At 46.4% G+C, this 14,526-nt stretch overlaps 1 annotated feature.

Moving 5' to 3' along the window:
• Positions 10,910-11,009: an enhancer, noted in NCBI's record as "active region_7548". NCBI's record gives its function as "activates an Ori minimal core promoter by ATAC-STARR-seq in GM12878 lymphoblastoid cells {active_cell/tissue: GM12878}" and the evidence as "EXISTENCE:reporter gene assay evidence [ECO:0000049][PMID:35858748]".

Consider the following 14,526-nt stretch of genomic DNA (forward strand, 5'->3'; position numbering starts at 1 on the left):
CTTTGTGCCTCAGCTTCCTTGTCTGTGAAATTGGTAGAATAAAAACAGTACTTCACCTCCTGCATTGTTGGGAGGCGTTCTTGTGATAGTAGCTCCCTGGCATGCAGAAGGGGCTTTATACATGCTGGTTTTCATTATCATCACGACTATATGGACTCCTGACCAGGCGAGGCTGGATGGACAGCATTCCAAATTCATAAGAGTCTAGGGATGCCGTGGACCCAGGCAGTCATGAGGACCCTATTCTGCCCCCTGGACTCCTGGGGCTTGGAGCTGTGTGTGTGCCCTTTGCTGTGCATTGAGCACACAGGATGCCTAACCTCGAGATGTGCACACTTTGGTGAATGTATTCGTCTGCTGGAGCTGCAGGACACCATAGACTGGGCAGCTTAAACCACAGAAACTTGTTTTCCCGCAGTTCTGGAGACTGGGCATTCGAGATCAAGGTGCCCACCCATTCTGTTTCCAATAAGGGCACTCTTCCTGGCTTGCAGATGGCTGCCTTCTCACTGCGTGCTCATGTGGCCCTTCCTCAGTGAGTGAGGGCAGAGAGAGAAAAGGAGGAAAGAGAGGGAGGAGAAAAAGAGAAAGTGCTCCTTGGTGTCTCCTATAAGAACACAAATCCTATTGTGAGGGCCACTTCCTCATGACCTCATCAACTCCAAGACAATGTCTCCAAAGACCATCACACGGGGTCTTAGGCCTTCAACACATGGATTTGTTGGGGGAGGCCAAGGCATTCAGGCCCAACACTGCATGTTTACTGACTTAGGTGGTGCACTCCAACCACGCCACCCTCGCTTCCCGAGGGCCTCGTCTGGGATGGAGCCAATAGTACTGTCTACACACTAGCCTCCTCAGCCAATGGCACTGTCGGCTGATGATGTCATTCTCTGACAGCCCCGCATCTGCGGCCTGGCATCTGTCAGAGGGCTGTCCCAGGAAACTAGGAGTGAGGCTCAGGATGCTTCTCTGCTCCTGTGAAGTGGAGACTAGACTTCTCTCTCTCTCTGTTTCTTTCCTTCCTTCCTTTCTCTTTCTTTCTTTTTTTTTCTCTTTCTTTCTTTTTTTCTCTTTCTTTCTCTTTCTTTCTTGTTAAGCTTGTAGACACACCCAATAGAAAATCAGTTTGAAACAGCACTTATAACCCATTATAACTCCCACAGGCTGGGCACATATATGTGCAGGAAGGGGCTGGTGGGGGGGGGGTTGTCCCTATGTCACCCTAAAACCTCACTGAAGGGTGACTGGCTCATTCCTTACCTATTTCTGGCTAAGCAACCAAAGCATAAGCTTTGTGTTTTATCTCCATTTCATCTCGCCATCCCTTCTCACACCCAGGCCTAAACACTTAGAGTAATATTAGAACCAACTTGGTATTTATCATAATACCCTGGGAGAGTCGAGTTCTGGTGAGAACCATGATCGCTAGTTTCATGGGCTGAAGGCTCCAGGGAGCACTAATCATGGTGTCTGAGTGCATTTGTAGGAGCACATTGTAAACTAATTACCACGTGTGGCGCTCACTCTATCATTACCTTTAATATATGATTTCAAATACAATACAACTCCTATTTTGTTGCTTTCACAGTGCTGCAGACTCCAAGGCATGCCTCAGCCTTAAAAATTTTTGATAAAAAATAAACAAAAAGGCAAGAGTGTTTTTGATAAGTGATAAATGTACCTGCCTAATAGAGCTCTTGGATCATAAGAAGGCATTCAACAACTACTTTTTGAATAACAAATAAATACATTAAAAAATAAGTAATTTTTTATCCCAGCCTGACCTACTGCTAATTTGTCTGCTAACCAGGGCAAGACATTGCCCTATTTGAATATAAAATAAACTAACAACAACAGAAAAAAATATTTACTTTCCTAGGGGACATGACATCAACCTAATCCAGAGGATTTGTTGCAGTAAAAACTTAAAATTTTAGAGCATTTTCTTAAAAAACATATGCGTGAGAAACCAAATAGACACTGGCTTCACTTCTAAATTAGACACATTTCTCTTCTGTTCTGTGTCAAAAGGATGTTTGTATCTTGAGTCCTACTTGGCTATGAAATGAGCTCTAAAATAGATTTTTAAAACACTGCTTTCTCAGGATGTCCACCTGAGGGAGGCAGACAAGCCAACCCACCTTGGCATGTGGGGACTCGGAGCTGGGTAGAGATTTGCAGTGGGTGTGAGGGCACCCAGAGAGGGGGCACACCACTTCAGACTGGGGGAGCGATGGGGGATGTCAGCAAAGCCCTCCCAGGGCAGTCACGGTGGGGCTACAGGACAATAGGGAGGCAGGCTGAGGGACAGAAAGGACATTTCAATTCATAGGAGCCAAATAAGCATGGTGGGTAGCAGCGGGCATAGGGCTGGAAGGGGGCTGGGAGGCATTGAATTCTTTGGAGAAGCTGACTTATTTTGGAGTAAAGGGCCCCTTTGAAGGAAAGAAACATGAGGAGATCAGAAAAGACAGTCAGAGTTTGCTAATGAAAAGTCATCTATGCCCCTGCCAAGGACTTTGTTCTGCAGCCTAAACACTGTGCAGATTCTAAATAGATGTCTAAGGATGCTCACGCTGGTGGGGATTGGGGGATGGATTAGACGGGAGACAGACAGACTGATAGGGAGAGTATTGCAGACATTCAGGGGCCTGAGGTTCCTCATCTGCAAAATGAGGGGTTTCTTTTGAGGACTCAATGAATGAACAAACATAAAAGCCCATTAGCTAGTGACTGGCATACAGTAAGTGCTCAGTAAATAGTAACAATTGTTATTATGATCCAGATAAGAAATGCTGAAGGAACCACGAAAGGCTGAAACAGCAGCTGGGGTAGAGAAGGAAACAATTCCGGAGCTTTTCAGGAGGTTGGGTCAGCTGGATTTGTTACTGGCTAGAGGTGCAGGGCTGAGGGCCAAGGGGCCAGAGGTCACTCCAGGTCTGGGTGGCCCATGAGGCCATTGAGCTGTGTTCAGTTTAGGTGAGATGAGCTTTAAGATTCCTTCCATTTTTTCTTCTACCCCTCATCCTCTCTCCAACACCATACCCACCACAGTAGCAGAGAAGGGCCAGGAGAGAGGACAGGATCCCAAAAACGACACTACTCCCCACCCCTTCCCCTTTGGCCTACCTGGGGATGTCCTCAGCTGTCTGCCTTTGCCTTTTTGTTGGCCCTTCCTGAAGTGCTGTAGACCTCAGTTCCACTTAGCCAACATTCATTCAGCATGCTGTGCGCACCAGACCTCACCGAGTTCAAAGGCCGAGTGAGGAGTGGAGATTAGAGAAGTAAAGAGAGGGCATGAGTACAGCTGGAGTACACATGCAAGCCTGCAACGGAGGTGCTTTAAACTTCAGTGGGCCCTTGAGACCCCCAGGCAGTCACCTACCACTCCTGAGTGTGCTCATGCCAAGTCTATAGTTCCGCTTTTCCTCCTTTCTTACCAAATCCCCAACAATCCTGCTTTCATCTTCCTCTAAGCTGTTGGCCTCATTTCCCACCTCATTGGGAACATCAAAACCATCCAGCAGGAACGTCCACTGGCTTCCACTCCCCCACCCCCCACCCCCACCCCCCGCTGTGCCTACCAGCACCCAGATCACGGACTCCGGTTGGCTATACCAGATGGCCTTTCCACGTTGCATCCACAGCAAATCTCTCCACTCGATCTCAGATCCCAGCGTCTCCCGCCCACTCAAGGGAGCCCTCTTGCAAATCTCCCTTCACTTTCCCTCCTTTCCACTCTCTACTGCCTCCTTCCCACTAGCTAATTAAAATGCTGTTGTTTTTCCCTTATTAAACAAACAAAATTCTTCTCTATCTCCCTTTTTTCAGCCAGCCATTGTCCCGTTTCCTTGTAGCACAACTTCTTAAAAGGATCAGAATCATCCATACGCCGTCTCCCCTGTCTACTCCCGCCACTCCCCTGCCCCCTCTGCCAGGCAGTTCTTTCCAGGGCCTCCAACAACACCATGTTGAAGGTCCGCTGTCAGTTCTCTGAGCTCCTCTCATGAGAACCATCATTTGATCTAGCTGATCCTTGCTAGTTCCTCTCCTTCTCCCTGACCTCTTATCCTTCGAGCGTCTTGGCTTCCATCCTGGTTCTCTTCTCCATCTACACTCATGCCCTCTGGTGATCTCCAGATAACCACCGGTATGCAGGTGGTTCCCATGGTTGTATCTCTAGCGCAGATCTTTCTCCCAGGTTCCAGGCTCATATCCAACTCTCTTCTCACTGTCTCCACTTTGAAGTCTGCCAGGCATGTCCAAGCCCGCAGCAGTGACTGTGGATGGAGGTCCCTTCCGGCCTGCACTCTGCCCCCGACCATGCTCCTCAAGGAGCTCCTGTTACAGCCCACTGGGCCACTCACCTCTTCCCGCACAGGCGAGCAGCTCCCCAGCCAGGAGCGTGGTCACAGCCCACGCAGTATCCACTTCTGACTATGAAAATCCTACCAGTCCCCAAGATCTGACTCAGATGTCTCTGTCTTCGTGGAGCCTTTGCCAGTCCTCTGATCTGGAATTAATTCCTTCCTCTTCTGGGCCTCTGGAGTTCTTCCTTTATATCTCTATTCTAGACATTAGCACTCTCGGTCTTCTATCATAGTCAGCAACATTCATTCCACAACAAATACTGTATGGGACCACTGAGAGCCAGACGCTCTTCTGGGTGCAGGGGAACCTTCAATGTACAAAAGAAATAAGATGTTCTGCTCTCAAGAAGGAATTGTTTGAGTAGAGGGAGAGCGACAATGAATATTAAATATATAAAGATATTATTACATAATGTCATATATTATTATAAAGATATGAATTATATAGTATGTTAGAAATATTTTGAAAATTATATTAGGTTGGTACAAAAGTAATTGCGGTTTTACTTTTGCACCAACCTAATAGATATAAATTATATAGTATGTTATAAAAATATTATCAAGATGTAAATTAAATTACTATAAAGATATACATTATATAGTATGTTAGAAAGTGACAAAAGCAAACAAAAAGGAAAAGTAAGCCCAAGGATGCACTTGTGTGAGCGTCAGTGGAAAGGGCGGGGTTGTCGGCTGCAGTATTAACAGAGATGGCTAGGTCAATGAGAAGGTGTCATTTGAACTGAGACCGTAAGGAAGCAAGAGGGTGAGCCAGGGGACCAAGGGGATACCTGGGGAGAGTAGCCCAGTGAGAGGAACAGCTGGAGCAAAGGCTGGAGTGGGAGCTGCCCTCACCTTGCAAACAGGGCCTCCCGACATTCATGCCCGGGGCCTTCCCCACCTGCCAAGACACCACCCCTGCCCTGCTTTACTACCCCCTGCTTCTCACAGTGACTCCTAAGAGGCAAGTCCTTCCCCCTCTTTTGAGCCTTCTTTATATCAAAGGCGGTAGATGCCACTTGTCTTGCCTTGCCTTTTGGAACAGTGCCTTGCACTGGTTCTGCTTGAGCTGCCCCTCCTCTGCCTCAGGTGCCATCCTTGGCCTTCCCGTGAACCATATTCTCTCAGTATTAAGTATTGCCTTTCATTTTCATGGCTTCAGCCTTGATTTAAGCCCACTTCTTGATGCCACTGGAGTCTACCTCTTTTAGAGACATCCATGGCTCCACACTGAGGCAGGCTGGGGGACCCCTTCCAGCGTGAGCAGCAGCAGCAGAGATCTCCACTGAAGGCCCCTGCTTGCCTTCTGCCCTCTAAACACCAGGGGCATGTCCACAAGGATGTCCTACAGGCCTTTCCAACGTGGAATGCCAAAACATAACGGTGTTCCCCACAAATCCTGCAGTTTTTCCAGTGTTTTCTAGCTCCATGTGTTAGATCAGCTTCCATTTCACTATTCAATTTGGGAACCTTGGAATTCTCTGTGGGTGCCTCCTGTCCCGTACTTCCACTTCCGATCACTGACCTACTCTTGTGGCTTTTGTCCCCTCATTTCTGTAATCCCGGCCCCAGTGTGCATCCCCATCGTTTTACACACATCCTGGCTGATTAGTTCACTGCCTCCTGTCTCTCCTCTTTGCAACTAAGCCCACAAACTCTGGGAAGATCTGATTATGCTTTGTTCAACAACCCTCAACAGATCATGATGGAATCCTGCTTCTATCCCAGTGCATTAAGGCCTTTCTGGACACGGATGACCTGCACTTCCTCCCAGCTTCCTTGAGGTGCAAAAGGGATGGTGTCACCATTGTTTTCTGGTTTTCATCCAAGTTGATGTGAAGACATTTGCTGGCTCTCTCAGGATATGGTAATCACCATGATGCCCCAAATGAGCTTTCTAACAAATGTGAGGAATCTCAGCTGCCCTTCACTGCCTTAGCACAATCAATTGAGTTCAAGTCAAGCACACACTAAGTAAAAATGGCCTACGTTCTTTCCTTGGCTGGGTTATGAGTTGAGAGCATTGAGAGGCCATTTACTTTATTTGGAAGGCTGATGTCTGGAGGAGAAGAATCTAACATCAATGACTAGAGACCCTTCAGATTGATTTATAATCTGACTGGTCCTTCCCTTTCTCATACCTAAAAAAATTACCAATTTGCCCCTTGTAGACAGTGTTCGTCCATCCCTATGTCCGTCACCTTTCATAAGCAAGAGTCAATGATTGTCTCCATTTTGAAGGGAAAACCGAGAGATTTGTTCTGTGCTTTATCCTACTGCATTTCAGAGAGAGAGAGAAAAAAAATGGTTCTTCCAAAAAATCAAAAGCAGTTCCAATACGGAGATGGTAAGATCATTAGAATTTAGAATACCAAGATTTGTCAGAAATGGACTCACTTATCATAAATGCTTTGAAATTGAGGAAAGTTCAAAGAAACAAAATCTGGAGCCAATCCAAACATCGCTGGGTCTCTCCAATTCCCTGGCTCCCTGGTTCTTTCCAGTGTCCATATGCGAACATGCCCTGCATCTGGAGCTCTGTCCTAAGCTCTGTGGAAAATGTCAGGTTATTAGATGTGACAAAATGCTCTCGTGGATCACCCAGCTGCAGCTAGTCGGGTAAAACTTCCTTTTGCTTCCCCTGACTCCCAAATGAGATGGTGTCCTTTGCTCCCTTCATCCATATTCCGATACACAGATTAGCTAGAGATGAGAAATTCCTGAAGAAAGAAGGAAATAATAAGTTTTAAACTGGGCCTCTTTGCATCTTAAAAAGAAATCAAAGATAGCCTCTTTGCAAAGCTCCGTCTTTTTAGACGTTGACCCCCGAAGTGTATTGCTGTTGCTGCAGCACACTGGAACGTTTCAGATGCCTCTAATTCCCAGGATCTGGTCTCCTGCCAGAGCTGCAGAGTGATATGAATAATTTCTGGGCTCCCTTCCCCAGGATGGATGTGTTTCTGGGATTTTTTTGGCAGACATGCCATCGGAGTCTATCTCTCTTAGAGAAGTCAGCGGCTTTGCACTCTGAAGCAGGATCGGAGACTCCTTTCGGGATGAGCAGCAGTGGGGCAGAGATCTCCACTGAAGGCAACTCTTTCCATTTTTCAGCAGTCTTGTTGTGAGAAAAATATGCCAGTTCCCAGGGGCAAAGATTCCTAAAAGATACACCAGGGATGCAACCGCTGTACGTTGTGCCTGATTTTAATGTAATGTAGCAAGTGTGAATCTCAGTCCCTAACTTTAGGTATGCAAGAAATAGAATTTGCTTTACTTTCCTAAACTCAAGTTCATTTTTATTTTGAGTTCCCACCACCCACCATAATATCAGTCATTTCGGGGGTTCCCTCACCGATGTTGTACAATGGTTCTGGGATCCCATGGTGGAAGCCATCTGATCTTCATCCCGAGCCACACAGGGACTTTGGGCCCTATGGCTGTCTCTGAGCCAAGACTCTGCACAAGGCTGCCCCTGGCACTGTCTGCCTCAAGCCCACACAGTCACTCCTCCTTGGGGACTCACTGCCCCCAGCAGCCCTTTTGGGAAGCTGAGACTGGATACCCACTGCCCTCTCTTCCTCCTCGTCCTGTGTGGCTCCTCTCCTAGTGGTAACCTTTCCCCAGCCTAGGGGGGCTCTGTTTTAATTCTGGGGAAAATCTTCCTCCCTTGTGCTTTTTTCATACCACTCTGTCCCTGCCGCATGGCTCACTGGAATGTCACCTTCTCAAAGAGGCCTTTTCTCACCACCTCTATGCAGATACACTCTGCACACTACCCCACCCGGGCCCAGAGCTCCTTATAGCCCACACCCTGCTTTATTTATCTCCATGGCACTCTCCATCACCTGACACACAATCTATTTATTTGGTAATTTATTTATGATGTGCCTCCCCTCATCAGAATATAAGTAATGTGATAGTAAGGGCTTTATCTCTTATATCCCAAGGGCCTACAGCAATGCTGGGCTTATAGTGTCGGTTCCGTAAATATTTGCAGAATGAAGGAATGAATGGATTTGGGCGTGTGTCTAGCTGTGCCAGACATTGTGCTAGGCACCAACATTCATCCAACTGGGAGCAAGGCCATGAGTGAGTGAGGCTGCAGCCCTGAGCTTGGCTGAGTGGTGACTGGGACTCAGAAGTCCAGGAGGCCACAGTAGTGTGTGCGTGTAGTTGGTGTATTAGTCTGTTCTCACGCTAATAAAGACATACATGATACTGGGTAATTTATTTAAAAAAAAGAGATTTAATTAACTCACAGCTCCACGTGGCTGGGGAGGCCTCAAAATCATGGTGGAAAGCCAAAGGCACATCTTACATGGCGCAGACGAGAGAGAATGAAAACCAAGCAAAAGGGGAGACCACTTATGAAATCACCACATCTGGTGAGACTTATTCACTAACACGAGAACAGTATGGGGAAAACCGCCCCCCAGGATTAAATTATCTCCCACAACTCCCTCCCACAACACGTGCAATTTTTGGGAACTACAATTTAAGATGAGACTTGGATGGAGACACAGCCAAACCATATCAGTTGGGGAGGGAGTAGTGGGAGTACTGGGTCCAAGAGAGGGAGCCCTGCAGCCTCCAGGACCAGCTGTGATAGTGGCCGAGGCTGACCATGGCGTGTGGCTTGGAGGCTGAGCAGCCAAAGGTGAATGACTGTTACCCTGAGGAATCAGGGTGCAGCATCCAGGCCAGACACAGCGCATTCAGACGGTGCGGGACTCTCATGTAGAACAGACTCACGATGATGAGGTACTGGCCTGGGAGCTGATCAGGACACAGCTGTAAACACACAGAACTTTGTAAAGCATGCTTTCTCAGCAAGTCTCTTCCACAAACAGATACAGACCCTGTTATTAGTGCTGGGCCTACGGCAAAGAAAGAAACAGATAAACCCTATGCTCACAGAGCTCGCATTATAGTGGGCAGAGACAGGCACTATACAAAACTAACAGGGGTATGCTAGAGAGTGAGGGCTAAGGAGAAAAAATGTGGCATGGGAGGAACGAGATAGCAGGTGAATGGGGACCAGGCGGAGCTCTCTGGGCAGCACCGAGGTAGGACTGGGGGAGAGCAGCGATGCACTACAGAGCTTCCAGGCACGTCCAAGAGGCACACAGGTGGGACGCAGCTGGTGTGTGCAAGGAGCTTGCATGGCCAACCTGGAAGTGAGCAAACACATCAACAACAGAGATCCACGTAGCCTGTGATGGGGCCAGCACTGTTCTGGGCACTTGGGATATGTTCACAAAGAAAGTAGACAAGAACCCCTGCCCCAGTGGAACCTGCCGTAAACAACAAGCCATTCTCGTAACATAGGGTCACACAGGAAGGTAGGACATGGTGAGTGCTATGAGGAAAGAAAGGCCAGGGAAGGGCATTAGACATCCAGGATGGTCAGCGCATGTGACCTGGGACAGTAGGAGCCGTTAGCATGGAGGGAGGAAGTGAAAGCCATGTGCTAATGAATGTATTCGCCAACGGCTTACAGGTAGGTGGTGAGGGCTGAACGCGGGCACGAGAGCCTGGGGAGGCCATGGTCAAGTGCAGCTTCTAGGAAGATGAGGCCCAGCATTTCCACTGGCTTTAGCAGCATGGATGTCACTGCTGACCAGCAAGACAGCTTTTGCAGAAGGCGGGGACAAAGCTTGCTGAGAATACTGTCAAGAAAACAGAGGGAAGGGAGAAAGGAGACAGCAGCATGAACCTCTTTCTCAAGTGACTTTGCCATAGGAAAAAAAAAAAAAAAAGACAGAGAGAAATGCCCTGATAGTTGGATGGGAAGGGGGTCAAGGTCAAGACAAATTCTTTTTTCTTTCCTTCCTCCCTTCCTTCCTTCCTTTCTCTCTTTCTTTTTCTCTTTCTTTCTTCTTTCTTTATTGAGACAGGGTCTCACTGTCACCCAGGCTGCAGTGCAGTGGTATAATCACGATTCACTGCAGCCTCTACCTACTGGGCTCAAGTGATCCTCCCACCTCAACCTCCGGAGTAGCTGGGACTACAGGTGTGTGCCACAACACCCAGCTAATTTTCTTATTTTTGTTGTTTTTGTTGAGATGCAGTCTAGCTATGTTGCCCAGGCTGGTCTCAAACTCCTGGGCTCAAGAGATTGTTCCATCTCTGCCTCCTGAAGTTCTGGCATTATAGGCATGAGCCACCGCCCCCAGCCTTTCTCTTTTCCCCAGTGGCAGGAATACAGCATGCTTATGTGCTGATGGGAAGATCTGGTAAAAACTGGAAAATCAAGGATGCAGGAGAGTAAGGGGATAAACGCCAAACAGGTATTTCTTGGGTAGGCAAGAGGGCTGTGCTCCCATGCACAGTGGAGGGCTGGCCTCAGGAAGGAGCAGGGCTGCTCACCTGGAGGGACCCCAGGGAAGGCTGAGCAGCGGTCCAGGTGCAGGCATGTGTGCCTCTGTGGTGGGGCCTGGTGCAGCTTCTCTTTTGAGGGCCTTGGGTTTTGTGATGACTTAGGAAGCAAGGTCTCATCTGAGAATGGGAACTGGGGAACAGGTGTTGGAGACTTGCAGAGAAAGGAGGAAGTGAAATGGTCTTGGAAAGTGGGAGAGGACAGACGGCTGCCAGGAAACAGTGAGAACCTATTTGTGGTTTGTGGTCACGAATTTAAAGTCATACCACTCAGCACAGTTCTGAGGTTTTTCTCCGACCACATTTTCACATGAATTCGGGCATGAGGTAGGTGGAAAGTCAGAGTTAAGCAGGGGTGATGTTTTGCCAAATGAGAGCAAAAAAGGAGAGAAAGCAAGGGAGTTGAGGGTGGACACGAGGAAGTGGTTATAATTGGCCATGGAGTTTAAGCCAAGTAAGAAGGAAAATAAGGCAGGAGAGAGCCAGGGATAGCAAGCATGTGTTAGGACCAGGGGATTGAAAGTTCCAGTGCTGGAGATGGAGTGTGGAGGATATTGGAGGTAGAATTATTGGAGGAAATATTGGAGGTAGAATGTTCGAAATGGAGATTCTGGAGGGGTTCCCGTTACACTATTGGCAAAAACTACAAGTGTGACCATGGCAGTGAGTGGCTGCAGTTGGGTGGGAGACAAGACCATTGGGAGATATAAAGTGAAAGACATGAGAAACCGGTAAACTGGAAGGATTATCTACAATGGCTTTTAAAATCACCAAGAATTATGAACAGAGTAGTGTTGAGGAGAAGAATGGTGTGCAAGGAGCTAAATTCTCTGTTGAAAATCTGTAAAAATGTGAGATACAGAGAAAAAAATTTGGTCCTAACAGGTCTTTTCGATAGCTTGTCAGAGAGCCTCAAATCTTTGCTTCTTGAAGAACACGTATTTGTTTGTTTGTTTTTGTAACCTACTCAACTGTCCAGACCTTCTTAGCTAATAATTTCTATATCCTACGTGGACTGAACTGGTCTTTGCTGGGAAAAAGGTTGTCAAATCTTTGCAGATGAATATGGCTTCATGATGAAACTTCTTGGCCTCAGGGAACTTGACTTTTTACTATCTTTCCCACTTCCTCTCTGTTTGAAGAAGAAATTGACTGGCAGATTATTAAATACACTCAGAAATAATCTTAATAACAACCTTTCTAAAGACATGAGAGAAAGCCCAAATATATAGAAAGTATCTATGTTCCTGGATGAGTAAACTGGATATTGGGAAGATATCCCAAAATTAAATGCCAAATTCAATGAAATTTTCATCAAAATCTCTGTGAGATTGCTTTGGAGCTTAACAAGTTGATTCTAAAGTTCATCTGGAAAGGTAAATATGCAATAACGGCCAAGAAACTGTTGAAAAGGAATGAGAGAGAGATGGAGTGCAGTGGCTCACACCTGTAATCCCAGCACCTTGGGAAGCTGAGGTGGGAGAATCCTTTGAGCCCAAGAGTTCAAGACCAGCGTGGGCAACATAGAGAGACCCTATCTCCACTAAAAATAATAATAATAAAAAAATAGCTGTGTGCGATGGCATGCGCCTGTGGTCCCAGCTACTCTGGAGACTGAGATGGGAGGATCGCTCAAGACCAGGAGTGCGAGGGTGCAGTGAGCTGTGATGGCATCACTGCACTCCAGCCTGTGCAACAGAACAAGACCCTATGTCTAAAAGAATTGTTTTAAATTGAAGAAGGACTTGAACAATAGATAGTAAACCATGCTGTTAAGTTACAGTCAATAAAAGCAGTGAAATACTGGGGCAAAGAAGAGACAAGCAGGTCAGTGACACACCTGTTTACATTGAAAAAAATATTTGACAAAACTGACATTTCAAATTAGGGAGGAAACAGTCTAACAAATAACTGTTGGTTATTTATTTAGGGAACAGTTAAGTCCCTATACCATAGTATGTATCAAAATAAATTCCAGCTAGAATAAAGATCTCAATATTTTATAACTATATAGAAGGAGAAAATACAGGAGAATATCTTCATAACAACATGAGTGATGAAAGTCCTTTGCAAAAGCAGAACTCTAAAGCCAGAAGTCAGGGCAGATTTGACTACAACAAAACTTGAGGAATATTTCTGTACAGCAAATGATTAAAGTGTCAGAACTTCCAGGACAGGTAAAATGTATTTATTTATGTTGTTGCTTATTAATAACAACACTGTCTAAAAAAGGATTTTGGAATACTTCCAGCAGTTTATATAGAATAAAATAAAAGATTACATGTACACACACATTTATGAATGGAGGTGAAGCCTATATATATATATATATATATATATTTATATAAACACACACACATATATATGAAGATGAAGTCAATGAAGAAAACATATTTCATAATACCCTAAACACTTTTTAGAAATGAACAACACATTTCCCTTTGAGCTCCCATAACCCCAGAAAAAAGAAGGAAACAACATCCAATGTAGGCTTCAGAGTGTCTGTGAGAGAATAATAACTCATGTGCTTAAAAGACATACAGATTTCTCATACTGACACAAGAAAGAAATATTTCTAGAAGATTCCTCTGTCTTTGGAAATAAAAACACAACAAATAAGTCCCATATAAACTGACGGATTACGTGTTAAATTTAATGTAGCTACACAACATCACACAACGTCAAAGCCTTACCACGGCAATGTTAATTTCCAGAGTTTGGCACGGGCTCCACCTCTTGCATCCATTCAGCCCCTTCACTGGCTTTTGACAAGAGGTCCAACTGCACCATCACAAATCATTTTGTGATTTTCATAGACATCAGTGAAGGTTTGTGGGGTCACTGGGAAAGGTCACACCACTTGTGTCTTGCCATTTCATTCTCCACTCCTCCCACTCCTTCTTCTCTTTCCTGGCCTCCTTGTCCCCTCCGCCTGCGGTCGTCTCCACCCTCCTGCCAGCCCCACCCATACTTCAGACTTCCTCCATTGAGGGGAGCTGCTTGCCTACCCTGGTCCTGGCACCAGCCAGTGGCACCCAAACTCAAAGTGCCTACCCAAAGCAAAGGGTCACAGAAATTCCTCATGCAAACCCAGCCTCTCTCTGAGAGAAATGTCCTCACTCTCCACCTCATATGCTGGGTTTAGGGAGCCAATAGCCCTGTCTCTTCCCTCTGATGTGAGAGATCTGTGGCTATGTCTGGGAGGTCCCTGCAACTCCTTCCAGGCCACCCAGTGTAACTTAGAGCCTACTGCACAGAGGCCTCAACAGCAGAAGCATCTCCTTGCAGCCATCTCTCGGCTCCCACTCTGGTTTTATAAATAAGTTTCTTATTTTAATTATAAATCTGCACAGTGGAAGTAGACGATTAAATGAAGAGAATCTGAAATCACTCCTGATCCAGGCGAAGTAAGCAAGTGTCTATTTCCAAGACTGTTCTACAAATAGAACACAGGCCTGACACAGAGGACATGTGTCGGATTCCCCACCACACACACACACACACCACACCACACATACACACACACACACCACACACACACACACACCACAACGAGTCTGTCATTCTTAATGTCTGAAGATGAGGTTTTGCTTTTGCATTCTTTGCTTTAGTTCTGTGGATCCTGACAAGTACCTGATTCTCTACAGCAATGGCCAGGTAGGTGTGGAGGGTGGAAGGAGAGTGGAAGGCGCTGAGTCAGGGGCCAGAAGACCATCTGCCATCCTTTCAGGGAGAAGTGAGGGGGAGGGACGAGGACAGGAGCATCTGTGTCTCA

This window comes from Homo sapiens, chromosome 13, assembly GCF_000001405.40.
Source record: "Homo sapiens chromosome 13, GRCh38.p14 Primary Assembly".
NCBI lineage: Eukaryota > Metazoa > Chordata > Mammalia > Primates > Hominidae > Homo > Homo sapiens.